General features: G+C 34.4%; 1 protein-coding gene across 13 annotated transcripts in view, besides 1 other annotated feature; it reads left to right on the forward strand.

The window, feature by feature from the left end:
* USP15 (ubiquitin specific peptidase 15) overlaps positions 1-15,177 on the forward strand; it is a 155,986-nt gene that overhangs the window by 126,712 nt on the left and 14,097 nt on the right. For 8 of the 13 annotated variants that reach the window (NM_001351165.2, NM_001351159.2, NM_001351166.2 and 5 more), the window contains 10 exons: positions 2,316-2,399; positions 2,490-2,584; positions 2,682-2,873; positions 3,749-3,864; positions 4,042-4,314; positions 4,701-4,771; positions 5,157-5,272; positions 5,938-6,087; positions 9,180-9,283; positions 14,072-14,160. In NM_001351165.2, coding sequence (NP_001338094.1) covers positions 2,316-2,399; positions 2,490-2,584; positions 2,682-2,873; positions 3,749-3,864; positions 4,042-4,314; positions 4,701-4,771; positions 5,157-5,272; positions 5,938-6,087; positions 9,180-9,283; positions 14,072-14,160 — 1,290 coding nt within the window. Of the gene's footprint in view, positions 1-2,315; positions 2,400-2,489; positions 2,585-2,667; positions 2,874-3,748; positions 3,865-4,041; positions 4,315-4,700; positions 4,772-5,140; positions 5,273-5,937; positions 6,088-9,179; positions 9,284-14,071; positions 14,161-15,177 lie in introns of all 13 variants that reach the window. The other 5 variants (NR_147079.2, NR_147082.2, NR_147081.2 and 2 more) reach the window with 3 other exon arrangements.
* Positions 9,634-9,928: a silencer, noted in NCBI's record as "tiled region #15489; K562 Repressive non-DNase unmatched - State 15:Elon". NCBI's record gives its function as "represses a minimal TATA promoter and a strong SV40 promoter by Sharpr-MPRA in K562 cells {active_cell/tissue: K562}" and the evidence as "EXISTENCE:reporter gene assay evidence [ECO:0000049][PMID:27701403]".

The following is a 15,177-nucleotide window of genomic DNA, read 5'->3' on the forward strand; positions in this document are numbered from 1 at the left end:
CTGACTTACAGATGCATGAGGAACACTTAGGTAGAGATATCCAGTAGGCATTGAATTTGTGTATCTAGACCAAAGGAGAGAGACTGCTTTAGCTATAAATTGGACAATCAGCTCTATGAAAATGATAGTGTTTTAGAAGGATGAGATTACTTAAGGCTAAGGTGACCCCGTGATTTATCATCTAAACAAGAACTCTTGAAAATAGAAGGGACTGTCATTAATAATTATACTAGGATAGCAGGCTAATCCAGGACTGGCCAAAGCAAATCAGGAGACACTGTTGCCTCTTCCAAGGAGAGCATATAAAATTGAGAAGAAGGCTAAAGACAACACTCTAAAGAACAATGTAGGAGAACTTCAAAAGAGGAATATGATCACAGCAATAGAAAAGAATTAAAAGTAGTCGTGTTATAAGGAAAGGGAATTTTTTAAGGAGAAAGTGGTCAGCAGTCATATTACAAAGAGGTCAATAAAATAAAGACTGATAAGTTGTACAACATTATTGGCAACCTTGGAAACAAGTTAAATAAAGAGGCGAAGACAAGCCAGCAAGAGGGTTGAGAAGTAAATGGGAGATAAGGAAGTTATGATAATATAGATATCATTAATAAAGTTATTTATAAAATAGAGGAGAAGGGGAGATAATTAGAGGGAAAGCAATGAGGTACCCTTGTTTTTTGAGAGACTTTATATTCCAATGCTTATGCAAGAGTTGAGATAAAATGGAAGAAAGAATAATTGCTTGGTTTAGGTCCCAGAGAAAGCAGAAGAGCATGGGATTTAGAACATAGACGCTAAGGTTAGCTTTGAATAAGAAGAGAGACATCTTTCTTTCCATGTGTTGCAAGAGACAGAAAAGTACCTATGTGGATTCAAAGAAGTTAGTAGAACAGGAAGTTGGAGATTTTCCCACCCAGTAGTTTCTGTTTTTGAGATGAAATAGGTATTCTGCTGATATTAAGGGAGCAGTAGTGAAATAGGAAGCCTAAAGAATGGTGAAGATTTTTTTTTTTTTTTTTTTTTTTTTGTTAATGAGACAGGGTCTTGCTCTGTCACCCAAGTTGGAGTACATTAGGGTGTGATCTCAGCTCACTGCAACCTCCGCCTCCTGGGCTCAAGGGATTCTCCCGCCTCAGACTCCCAAGTAGCTGGGACTACAGGTGTGCGCCTCCGAGCCCAGCTAATTTTTTGTATTTTTGTAGCAACAGGGTTTTGCCATGTTATCCAGGCTGGTCTCGAACTTTCGGGCTTAAGCGATTCACCTGCCTTGGCCTCCCAAAGTGTTGGGATTACAGGCGTGAGCCACTGGGCCCAGCCCAATGAAGATTTTAAATAGTTATTGAGATAAATGAGAGAATAACCACATGTGTGATATGCAGAATTATTTCTGAGTACTGTCAAAGGATCAATTGATATTGGGCACTGTGGATTTGTAGCACACCAGCCTCTAAAATTGGGAAATTCTCTTCAGCACATGTGAACAGCTCTGAGAAAGTTTAGCAAGAGTGGAATGAATAGAATTGAGTAACAAAGACATTAAAGGTTCGTGATAAAGCATGTAGGGCCTGGATGGAAGGGCTAGAAGACAGTAGGGAGCTGGTAAACTGGGAGAAAACAAGAGTTAAAAGGAATAGAAATCTCTGTGCAAGACAAGAAGAGATAAGAATGAATTTCCAGGAGAAGCAAGAAGTAGTGGTTAGACAGTAACCCGAGTTTAAGATACTAAAAGTGGGGCCGGGTGCAGTGGCTCAGTCCTGTAATCCCAGCATTTTGGGAGACTGAGGCAGAAGGTCACTTGAATCCAGGATTTTGAGACCATTCTGGGCAACATAATGAGACCTTGTCTCTAAAAAATAAAAATTAGCCAGTCATGGTGTCACACGCATGTAGTCCTAGCTACGCAAGAGGCTGAATTCGGAAGATGGCTTGAGCCCGGGAGGTTGAGGCTGCGGTGAGCCAAGATCATGCCACTGCACTCCAGCCTGGGCAACAGAGTGAGTGAGAGCCTGTCTCTAAACAACAAACAAAAAAAGATAGCAAAAGTGGGAGCAGTTTCAAGTAATGACAGGATCTAATAAGTTGACTGAGGTTGAATTAATGCAAGTGTCTTTGAATTGAGGAGCCAAGGAATGATAAAACTAGGACAAATTATCCATGTGGGCATTGTCACACAGGACCCAGGATAGTGGCAAGATTGGAGACAAACACTAATCCAAATGCCAAATGAATGTGAGATAGCAACCATGAGGTCACTCTCATTTACTGAATTTTTTTTCCAAAATAATAAATTCATTACAATTTTTTTTGTTTTTTAGTACAAAGTGGTTGTCCCCAAAATTGGAAACATATTAGATCTTTGTACAGCATTGTCTGCTTTGTCAGGAATACCTGCAGATAAGGTAAGATGTTTCTGGGGTTGAAGTATATAAGTTGGTATTTAGTTTCTCAGTGCTGTAAAACCAGCTTAATAGAAATTCGTTTCCTTTTAGATGATAGTTACTGATATATACAATCATAGATTTCACAGAATATTCGCTATGGATGAAAACCTTAGTAGTATTATGGAACGGGATGATATTTATGTGTAAGTATAAAACTCATTGTGCAAAATATTACTTGAAAAAAAATTAATAGAAGTAACATAAAATTTTGAGAGTTTATGGTCAGTTTTGTCCTTGTAGGTTTGAAATTAACATCAATAGGACAGAAGATACAGAGCACGTGATTATTCCTGTTTGCCTAAGAGAAAAATTCAGACACTCGAGTTATACCCACCATACTGGTTCTTCACTTTTTGGTCAGCCCTTTCTTATGGCTGTACCACGAAACAATACTGAAGACAAACTTTATAATCTCCTGCTCTTGAGAATGTGGTAAGTGCCAGACAATTCTACATTGACAAAATAAATATGGGAATAAAATATAAAATAGCTAATAAAAATAAACACATAAGGTACTATTGGAATATAATTATTCAAGTCTGTATTATCTCAATTTTGTTCATAGTCAGATTATAGTCCTAATCCACTTTCTTATTCATGTAAAACATATTATGGAGGTAATTTCAAACCCAGGAAGCACGAAGTCTGTAGCAGTTTTAAACCAAAAGTTTACAGTTAGAAGGACATAGGAATTTATGTTATAATAATTATGTGTTACATGTTCATTCTGTGAAATCATAACAAATGTCAAATGCCATATGTTTGCACTGTGAAATAACAAATGTCAAATGCTTCATTTCTTTATATACATTACCAGTTCATGATTAATAGTATTGTAAGGCAGCCTATTTTTTGCCTTCCTGAATAAATCCCTTGATTTGAATTATGAAGTTATCAAGAATGTCATTTGATCCCTTTTATCCTTGAAAGCTGGTATATTTAGTATTCTTTCTTGCATATCTAATTATTATAGTTTCATAACCCATATATAAAGATCACATTATACAAATATAAGTGTTTTTAGCAACAATATATACCATCTAAATAGGGTAAGTTGAGAAATTATTTGCAACAAACATTTAACATTTAACCTAAAAGGTAACATATTAATTATTTTTATAAAGATGAGCAAAACAAATTACTAGTCAGTTATACTTATGGTACTAAAAGTTTGAATTTATCTTTGAATCTACTAAGTGACCACTGTTACTGCATTAAAAAGTTTTGTTTTACTGATAGAAGGAAAACTTTTTAAAAGTTTTTATCTTTGTAGTACTGAACTTGTTTGATTTTTGATTTTACTTAAGCCGATATGTCAAAATATCTACTGAAACTGAAGAAACTGAAGGATCCCTACACTGCTGTAAGGACCAAAATATTAATGGGAATGGCCCAAATGGCATACATGAAGAAGGCTCACCAAGTAAGACTTTTCTGTTAAATTGTACAAATGTTTCACTTAGATAATTGCCTCAGAGAAAAAGTTAAGAAAATGGGAATTAAAGAACTAAAAAATACCTGGAAACCTAGGATTAATAATATTAATAATTTAAAAATATAGCATTGGGTTTATTTAAAGCTCTCTAATATCTAAAATTAGGTGAAATGGAAACAGATGAGCCAGATGATGAATCCAGCCAGGATCAAGAACTTCCCTCAGAGAATGAAAACAGTCAGTCTGAAGATTCAGTTGGAGGAGATAATGATTCTGAAAATGGATTATGTACTGAGGATACTTGCAAAGGTCAACTCACGGGACACAAAAAACGATTGTTTACATTCCAGTTCAACAACTTAGGCAATACTGATATCAACTACATCAAAGATGATACCAGGCATATAAGATTTGATGATAGGCAGCTTAGGCTAGATGGTAAGTATTTGTGAAAAATGGCTTGAACATTAAACAAGCCGAGCATGTTATTTTTTTTTTAGGTGAAAACCATGAAATTCAGCTCTGTCAAGAAATATACCATTTACTTTTCTATCTCAAATTTTACATGAAAGGACTTAATATCTAAGTAGACTAAAATGTGTGTTTGTGTTTCATAAATGGAGATTGAACTCATGCTTCAGTTTTCTATCTTTTTTTAAACTCTTAAATTATTTCAATGGCTTGGAAACTGCTGTTTGCCCTAATCACCAGTACAAGTAGAAAAGATTGCTGTTTGTTTATTCTGGTGTATATCCTAACATTAAAATATACTTTAATACTAAGACATATTAAATTTTAAAGAAAAAATATGTTTTCCACCTTAGAAAGATCTTTTCTTGCTTTGGATTGGGATCCTGATTTGAAAAAAAGATATTTTGATGAAAATGCTGCTGAGGTAAGTCATCACTCACTCACTTATTTACCTTTCCTTGATTTACTTTATGTGATTACCAGAGATAATCATACTGTTGTGTTACACTCTTTGCTTCCACCAAATATGTTTATTTTGCCAGTAAAAAATTGGTCATGAACTAGAAAAAAAAGTCTTTGCAAAAATACCTTTTTTTTTTAAAGGTTCAGAGTTCATTTTGAACGTGTTTTGGTCATCCATATAGAAGTGTACAGGAATTATTTAGAAGTATATAAATCTCAACTGAAATAAGCTTTATGATTCTTTTGAGAAAGTTTAGGAGTTTTCATTATTATTCATAGTAAGATGGTATCACTAAAATGAGTTTTGTTTCATTTGTTCTCTTAACTCAAGAAATACTTCTCTTTAGGACTTTGAAAAACATGAAAGTGTGGAGTATAAACCTCCTAAAAAACCCTTTGTGAAATTAAAAGATTGCATTGAACTTTTTACAACAAAAGAAAAGCTAGGTGCTGAAGATCCCTGGTAAGAGACAAAATTAAATAATTGTTTTTGTTTTCTTTAAGGATTTATTCTGAGATATGTGCCACATCAAGTTGAAAAAGTAATTACTAAATTCTCTTTGATGTTTTAAATAGTAAAGGATTCTTTATATAAGTTGTAGCCTATTAAGAGGGATGGGAATGTCTTAAAAAATACGATTACAGTGTTGCCTTAATTTTATTACTGTGTTTTTCATAATAGCCATTATACTATTAATTCATTTTAGTTACCTTTTTTCCAAGAAATTTTAGCTATGTAATCATTTTGAGAGAAGCTTTTTAGGAAAAATGTAGTGATATATTTTGTGGTGTTATTCCATTAGAGCCCAGATTTGAGATTTTCTAATACCTGTCTTCCAGCACAGATTTGTGACCTATGTCTTTTTTGCATACTAAAAGAGAAATAATCTAGCCCTCATTATGTCTTTAAGTATTTATTTGTATATTAATTTGTAATGGTTTAACCTATTTGGAAAATGTCTTGAAAATAAAAATAATAAGAGTTGCTTTCAACCTGGTACATATTAGGCATACTATAATTGCCCACTGAATAAATGTAGAACTTTCCAAACATTTTTGTTTATTATTTTCATTAATGGGGGTTGTTTGTACCTCTATCAAGTGTTAAATACTTCTGTTTATTCTTAGGTATTGTCCGAATTGTAAAGAACATCAGCAAGCCACAAAGAAATTGGATTTATGGTCCCTGCCTCCAGTACTTGTAGTACATCTCAAGCGATTTTCTTACAGTCGATACATGAGAGACAAGTTGGATACCTTAGTTGATTTTCCTATCAAGTAAGCTTTAATTGTACTTTATAAGCATTGGGCAACTCTTCTTTCAAACTTATTTGATGCTTTTTGTTATTATCCTTTAGTAAACATCAGGTGCCATTGGACCCAATTTCAGCTTTCAAGTTTGTTTTTGAGTAGTTCTAACAGTTTATAAGGATCAGTGTTTCAAAATTTTTATTTTTTCTTAGAGATTTTCCAAAGATCAAAGAGAAAATATACTTTAAAAAAATAAAAACAATAAAAATCCTTCTGTGTTATATTACCTATGGGTTAATTGGTCTCATTTATAAATCTAAGATACTTTATGGTACTTAGTGATTTTGTTTATCCTAGGAATTACTTCATCATTACTCATCACTTACTCCTAAATATGTTGGGGTTTTTTGGTGTTTCTTTTGTTTGTTTTTTGAGACAGGGTCTCACTCTGTTGCCCAGGCTGGAGTGCAATGGTGCAATCTCGGCTCACTGCAACCTCCACCTCCTGGATTCAGGTGATTCTCCTGCCTCAGCCTTCCAAGTAACTGGGATTATAGCCACCCGCCATCATGCCCGGCTAATTTTTAGTACAGACGAGGTTTCACCATATTGACCAGGCTGGTCTCGAACTCCTGACCTCAAGTGATCCACCCGCCTTGGCCTCCCAAAGTGCTGGGATTACAGGCATGAGCCACTGTGCCCAGCCCTAAATATGCTGTTTTCAAAAAGACTAAAATAAAACAACAATGGAATTGCTTAGAAGGATAACACAGTAGTGAAATAAATCATCCCTATTGCATTATCCTTCAGTTTTCCTATTGCCATTATATGACATCATATTTGTAAAAAGATATATCTATGGCCATACCACCTTGAACGTACCCTGATCTTGTCTGTAAAAAGATACAAAGAAGTCTGTATACATCTTCACACTTTATCTCTCTTTTTTTCTTCCCCTGCTTTTAACAGTTGAGAATTCAGAATGACAAAAAGGGAACATTGTATTCCCCGTCACTTAGTTATTCAGCAGAAGGACTTCATCACACAATATTTTGTACAAGTACTTGGTACTATCCCATTTTGCAAAAAGAACTTTCAGCGGTATTATTTCATATCCTGTGATATTTGTACACCAAAATGTACTTGATACAGTTAGTAAGTAGACAATTGCTAAAGGCAGGTGTATCTATAAAGGTAACTAGAAGGAAATAGATTACATAAAACAAAATATTCACTGGATTACTCATTCTAATTGGTGGCTATAAATTTAAAATTTAAAATTATTTGTAATTATTGAGTGAAAAAAAGATCATTTTCTCTTTAACAAAATAGTGAGCCATAAGTTTTCAAGAATATAGCATTTGGCAATGTAAGTATAAGAAAAAGAATCAGGGCTGGGCACAGTGGCTCACGCCTGTAATCCCAGCACTTTGGGAGGCCGAGGTGGGTGGATCACAAGGTCAGGAGAGCAAGACTATCCTAGCCAACGTGGTGAAACCCCATCTCTACCAAAATTCAAAAACATTAGCCGGGCATGGTTGTGCGCGCCTGTAGTCCCAGCTACTCGGGAGGCTAAGGCAGGGGAATCGCTTGAACCCAGGAGGCGGAGATTTCAGTGAGCTGAGATCGCGCCACTGCACTCCAGGCTGCCTGGCGACAGAGCGAGACTCCCTCTCAAAAAAAAAAAAAAAGAATCAGAAGTAATGACAAACTAGAATCTATCAGAGATGTATTTAAAATTTAGAATCATTATTGCTTTTTAATGATGCAAATACAAGAAGAACAACCAGAAATAATAATAAGCTATTTACAAGAAGTCGTTTTCCAGGTTCTTGAATGATAGATTTTGATTAGTCAGTTACATTCAAAGGATGTTGCCCATTTCGGGTATATAGGTCATCAAAGACAGCAAATGTAGAATAAAAATTAAGGTTTGATATATTAATATTTTTTAAAACTTCTAAGGAAGTTTTCACTATTCCTGTATTTTTCTTCATATAAATCACTTCCTCTTTTTTAATCTCTGACCCTGCCCATAAATTACTTTCTAAAATTGACTGTAAAATAAAGATCTACTGGACCCAGATGGTCAATAGTGATGACTGTTTTTCCTGGTATACTGAGAGTTAAATGTGTTAGCATGAAAACGTTTATCTGAATGACAACATTCCACATTTTTATTTTATTTTATTTTTTTATTTTTGTGGGTACATAGTAGGTGTATATATTTGTGGGGTACATGAGATGTTTTGATGGAGTGTGAAATAGTCACATTATGGAGAATGGGGTATCCATCCTCTCAAGCGTTTATCGTTTGTGTTATAATCCAGTCACACTCTTAGTTATTTTTAAATGTATAATTAAGTTATTATTGACTATAGTCACCCTGTTGTGTGATCAAATAGTATGTTTTATTCATTCGTTTTTTTTTTTAACCCGTTAACCATCCCCACCTTACATCTCCCCTACCTTCCCACCACACTTGTCATCCTCTAGTAATCATCCTTCTACTCTGTCTGTCTATGAGCTCAATTTTTTTTTATTTTTAGATCCCACAAATGAGAACATGGGATGTTTGTCTTTCTGTGCCTGGCTTATTTGATTTAACATAATCTCCAGTTCCATCCATGTTGTTGGAAATGGCAGGATCTCATTCCTTTTTATAGCTGAATAGTACTTCATTGTGTATATGTACCAGATTTTCTTTAGCCATTTATCTGTTGATAGACACTTAGTTCCATCAACATTGCAACACATAGTTTCGTCAAATCAACAAGATTTGGTTGTTTCCAAATGTTAGCTGTTGTGACCATTGCTGCGACAAACATGGGGAGTGCAGATATCTCTTCAGTATACTCAATGAAGCATTTTAAAATTTTCAACCCATAAACAAATGTTTGCCAAAACATTAATATCTCAGAGGTACATGTATGATTTGTTTTGTAAGTTATTTGACTCATGATAATTTCCTTAGTGAGATATATATATATATAGATAGATATATATAGATGGATAGATATAGATATATATATGTATGTCAAACAACAATGGCAGAAGGGAATAGAATTCATTGCATTTAGGGACAACATAAAAATTAACTTGGTTTCTTTTTTAAACAGTGACTTGGATATGTCGGAATTCTTAATTAATCCAAATGCAGGTCCTTGCCGCTATAATCTGATTGCTGTTTCCAACCACTATGGAGGGATGGGAGGAGGACACTGTAAGTTGACAGTTTGCCTTTTTACCCAAATCATGGTGTTTGAAGAACTCCAGACTTTTTTCTTTAAGATATTTATTACTTCTTAAGGATAAAATATCAGATGTGTCTTGCATATAGTAGTTCAGTATTGATTAATGAATGAGTCAGCTTTTGAACCTTTTTTTTTTCACATAGGGTATAGAGAATTGAGTTCATCATACTCCTCAGTTCAAGGCCTAGTAGGGAATGTTGTCCCATTTAGAGTGCATTTCCCTCCACGTTCTCCTTCCCCTTTGCTTTCTAACATGTTTGATGCATATACTCTTGTAAATCATTAATATTTATTCATTTATATAATTGGTACTGTGCTGTAGATATCACTAGGTCTCGACACTTATGAAGACTTATCTGTGTTGCTTTGTGTCCATTTAGTCAGTTGTTTCTCACTGCTTATGATTTACATCTGCCATATTTTATCTCTCCACTTACCTCATGATAGACATCTAAATTCCCTTTCACTTCCTACCACTGTAAGACTGATAAACCATTGTTTATGGTATCGTATGTAAGAATTTATTTGGGCTGCGTGCCCAAAAGTGAAATTGCTGAGTTTAAGTGAGTAAGTGTTGCCAGATTGCCCCCCACCCCCCAGGATGGCTCTAACACTCGACACTCTGCAAGCAGTTGATTTTTCTGTTGAACAGTATTTACATTCCTTGGATATATCCTACTTATCATTATATATTTTTAGACACACAGTTGGATTCAGTCAGATTTATTTAGGGTTGTTACAATTTCATTCATAAGTGAAATGGTTTTGTAAGTTTTTTATATTTTCATTATCTTAGTTTGGAATAAAGATTAGAGTCATAAAACAAGCTGAGATGCTTTATCCTTTTTCTGGTTTTTGGAACAGCTAGTACAATATAGGAATTAACTGTTCATCAAAGTCTAGTAGAATTAACCTGTAAAGCCATCTAGGCTTTGCAGCCATAATTGTTTTTATTTATGTCATGCATATTGGTCTATTCAGTTTTCTTTTTCCTTTTCTGTATATTTTGATGTTCTGTTTCTAAAAATGTATCCATTTCATTTAGGTTTTTCAATTTATTTAAGAATTGTTGTTTATAATGCTTATATTACACTATTTTTGTCCTTTTTTCATTCTTTTTCTCTTTTTTTTTTAAATCAACCTTCCTGGCCAGGCACAGTGGCTCACGCCTGTGATCCCAACACTTTGGGAAGTGGAGGCGGGTGAATCATGAGGCCATGAGATCAAGACCATCCTGGCCAACATGGTGAAACCCTGTCTGTACTAAAAATACAAAAATTAGTTGGGTGTGGTGGCACGTGCCTGTAATCCCAGCCACTCGGGAGGCTGAGGTAGGAGAATCACTTGAACCAGGGAGCCGGAGGTTGCAGAGAGCCCAGATCACACCACTGCACTCCAGCCTGGCAACAGAGCAAGACTCTGTCTCAAAAAAAAAAAAAAGTATCAGTCTTCCCAGATTTCTATCTTGTTAGTCTTTTCAAAGAATTACTTTTCATCTTATTAAATTTTTATTTTTGTTATTGTATGTATTTATACTTTATATTATTATTATATTTTATTTTATCTATACGTTTTTTTTTTGAGACTGGCTCTCTCTCTGTCACCAGGCTGGAGTGCAGTCGCATGATATTGGCTCACTGCAACCTCCACCTCCTGGGTTCAAGCGATCCTACCACCTTTGCCTCCCGAGTAGCTGGACTACAGGCACATGCCACCACACCCAGCTAATTTTTTTGTATTTTTAGTAGCAGTGGGGTTTCACCATGGTGCCCAGGCTGGTCTTGAACTCCTGGGCTCAAGCGATCCTCCTACCTCAGCCTCCTGAGTATCAGGGACTACAGGTGCATGCCACGACACCTGGCTTGTATGTATTTATTCTGTCTAATTGATTTCTTCCCTTCCCTTCATTGTATGGTTCCTCTTGTTACTTTGGGTTTCTATGTTACTCTTCTTACAACTTCTTGAATTGAATGCTTAGCTTTGCTTTTCATTGTTTCTCCTATATTGAAGGCTGTAATTAAAAGGCTATAAATTTCTGCTAAGTACTGCTTTAGCTGTACTTCAGATTTTCATTATCTTTCAATTGTATGTATGTTTTAATTTCCTTTATGATTTCCTAATTAGCACAATGTCATTTAATCATATGCTTAGTTTTCAAATGTAGAGAGTTTTGTCACTTCATTCTTACCTTTATTACATAGCAGTTGAGAGCATTGTCTATATTAATCTTTAGGAGTCCGAAAGTTGTAACATGTCTTAATACATGGTCAGTTCCTTAAACGTGTGTATGCTTGGAAAAAAATATACATTCCCCATTTAGATACAGAGTTCTTTATATCTCTGATAATTTAAGCTTATCAAGTGTATTCAAACCATTACTATCCCTGGTTATTTTTTGTGTTCATTTTATTCCTGAGAGGAATTTGTCAGGACTCCTACTAAAGTGTTGATTGACCTGCTTCTCCCAGCAGTTTTATTAGTTGTTATTAATATTTTGCATAATTATACTTATGTTCATAATGGGTAGCTCTTCTTTCTCTGTTCCTTTTAACACCAGGATTTGACATTCTTTGCCCCTTTTTTTTTAGGTATTACAAGTGTTACTCTAGCTTTCTTTTTGGTATCATTTAATTTACAAACTCTGTGCCTTTTTGTTGAATGTGTCTCTTATAGATCACACAGATCTAAGTGCAGCATCTGCTCTGCACTGATCTTGGGTTGAGATCAACAAACTCACAGCACGCAAAAGCATTCACCCAGCACCAGGTTTACTTAGATTTAAGAAAGGATACAGGTCAAGAAACAATACAGCATGCACAGCAACAGCTTAGCAGAGGTCCTGTGTAGCTGGAAGGAGAGAAAATAGGGAAAAGTGTGCTCAAAGGAAGCTGTTCATCCCATGGCTATTTCCTTCCACTCCTCACCAAGGCTGATTTTTAACCAGAGTTCATGGGGTACAGTCATATTAGTTGTCAAATATTTTGTTAGCCCAACAGGACTTTTAAACAGCAATAAGACTCTGATTCAGGTAGCCTGAGTATTGCTGATTTCTGTGACAAAAATTGAAGCAAGAAATTTAAACGCTTTCTTCTAGATTGTTTTCTCATTTCTGCCTCCATCCATTCTGTCGCATTCTTCAGCCATGTTGCATGCACACAAATATTCTTGAGTTCATATATTGAGAACAGGGTTCTCAATTTTTTTTTGTTAGTTCCTTTGACTCTAACTTCCATCTCTTTCTACGGTTTCTCTCCATGGTTGATATTTGAGGAGAGGGAACCAACAACAGATAGAATATGAAACATTTCTTCCACATGGTAGTTACTCAGTAAAATTGTTAACCAAACAACTTAGAGTTTAAACCATTATTTTATTGTGATTGGTTGGTTGGTTGGCTGGTCGGTTGATTGGCTTGTCTTTTGAATTATCTTCTGACCGCCAGTGGAGTTTCACCAAAGATAATGCTTACCTTACTTTCAAAGTATTGCCATTCCCTCTGAACATCATCCAAACAGGTAACTTAATAGAAAGAGAATATTGCCCTTTGATTTCAGCCTTATTAAGGATAATACCTCAATTTCTTATTTATATACAAATGGGAAGAATAATTACTTTAGGATGGGAAGAATTATTTAGAAGCCGTACCCTACAAAGTGTCACTTTTTAGAAACAATGACCACATATAATTATTTTGGAAACATTGTGCAACTTTATTTCTTCAGTTATTGAGTAGTTTATACAAGGCATGGGATGGGGAAAGGGGCATTTTTTTAACTTAAAGATAAAGCAGATCTTTAAAAATTATGTGGATTAATGAATCACTTTTTGCCTTTTTCTTGCTGTGTACAGTCATCCCTTTGTATCAGTGGATACCACAGATGTTCAAATTCCTTATGTAAAATATTGTAGTATTTGCATATAACCTAACCACATCCTCTCATATACTTGTATGTGTAGATTATTTATAATACCTAATACAATGCCTGCACGTCACTTCATTCACATAAATTGAACATAGTACTCAGCACGTGGCAAATTCAAGTTTTACTCTTCAGGACTTTGTGGAATTTTTTTTTTTCCTCAAATATGTTTGATCTGTGGTTGGTTGGGTTCAGGGACGCAGAACCCATGTATGCACAGGACCGACTACACTTTTGTTAAAGACTAAAAGAGATTCTGGTGTTAAAAAAAAAAAAAAACACTATAGCATAATGAGTAGAGGTATCAGAAAAGAAATCGTCATAGAAAATTTAATAATAAGTTGAAATTTCAAACTATGAAGTCAGAAACAGATCTAGGTTTAAATCCTAACTGCTAGCTAACAGTATAGTACCTTGAGTAAATTATCCTTCTTTTGATGCCTTAATTTCCCATCTCTCAGGTGGGGAGAATAATAATGATAATACCTTCTTTATGAGACAATACATGTAAAGTGCATAACACTATGCCTGGTACACAGTAAGCACTACATGAATGTTAATTACCATTTATTATCATTAGTGTTATTATGTGAATTTAAAAATAATCTGTTTTTTCCTGAGATGAAAAAAGAATGTTTCAACTTACATGAAAATTATTTTTGGCATCTAATTGTAGAAATTAGAAATCATTTGAATCAATTGAATATGTAATAAATAAGCCTCATAGATGATTATCAGTGTTAATAGATATTCCTTATATAGATGATTATAGAGTTTTGAGGAGTCCCCAGAAAACCAAGATCATTTTCGTCACAGTGATTATATTTTTTTCATTAGATACTGCTTTTGCAAAAAATAAAGATGATGGAAAATGGTACTATTTTGATGACAGTAGTGTCTCCACTGCATCTGAAGACCAAATTGTGGTAAGTTTGTCTTATATTTCCTGAGAACTATGGGATTCACTGTCTTAAGGAGTGAATATAAATTAATAAAAGGGGCTCATGGAACACTGTAGTCTATATTCTAGCAGCTTGAGTAGCTAAAAGACACTAACTCTTATTTAAAGAAATGTCAAATTGTCCCCTAAATGGAAATTTGTCTTCTAAATTTGCCCACTAACAAAAGCATAAATTGCAAGGTGAAAAAATTTTTGGTAGTTTTCAACATGGAGTTTCTAATAAAAATAATTAAGTTTTGCTTTGGAAAGTAGATTCAGCTCTTAACTTTCTAGACATTGAGTACTTAAAGCCAGAATGTTTAAACAAGAGAAAAAAAATCCTTGAAGTACCTTACCGTACCTGTGATCTTTAAAGTCATATCCTGCCTTATGAAAATTAACTAAACTCAAAATGACATAATTAGATAAAACAAATTACAGATTTATAAAAGATTAATACTTGTGTACTTACTACTTTGATATTTTCTGAATAGTAAAAAAAATGAGGAAGTTCCGTCTGTTCACACTTACATCAGTTTATCATCCACCGCTGACTCTCAGTATGGGTTTGTGTGTGTGTGTGTATATGTATATATACACACAGATGCATACATATATATGTATATATACATATATATATATATATACTGTTATTTCTCTCCCTATATCTATGACAAAAAGAGACTTGAATACTATAAATTTTTAAAATTGTGTTAGTTTTAATTAACCACATTTTTTGTTTATATTTAAACTCCTAATTTTTTTTCTGCAAAAGAAAATCAATTCTGTTCTCCTCAAATTGCCCACCTCCTCCATCAGTCTTTTTAACAACACTGCCCTAATCTTGGCTTCAAATAAACAGTTATCTTGTTTATATATAGTATACAAATTTGAGGTTGCCATGCATTTTAACAATGATGATTCTTCATTTAGTCAACAAATTGAATATGATATATATAGAGAGAGAGAGATACACAAAAGACTCCATTCTAAACAGAGTTAA

Source organism: Homo sapiens, chromosome 12 (genome assembly GCF_000001405.40).
Source record: "Homo sapiens chromosome 12, GRCh38.p14 Primary Assembly".
In the NCBI taxonomy this organism is placed as follows: domain Eukaryota; kingdom Metazoa; phylum Chordata; class Mammalia; order Primates; family Hominidae; genus Homo; species Homo sapiens.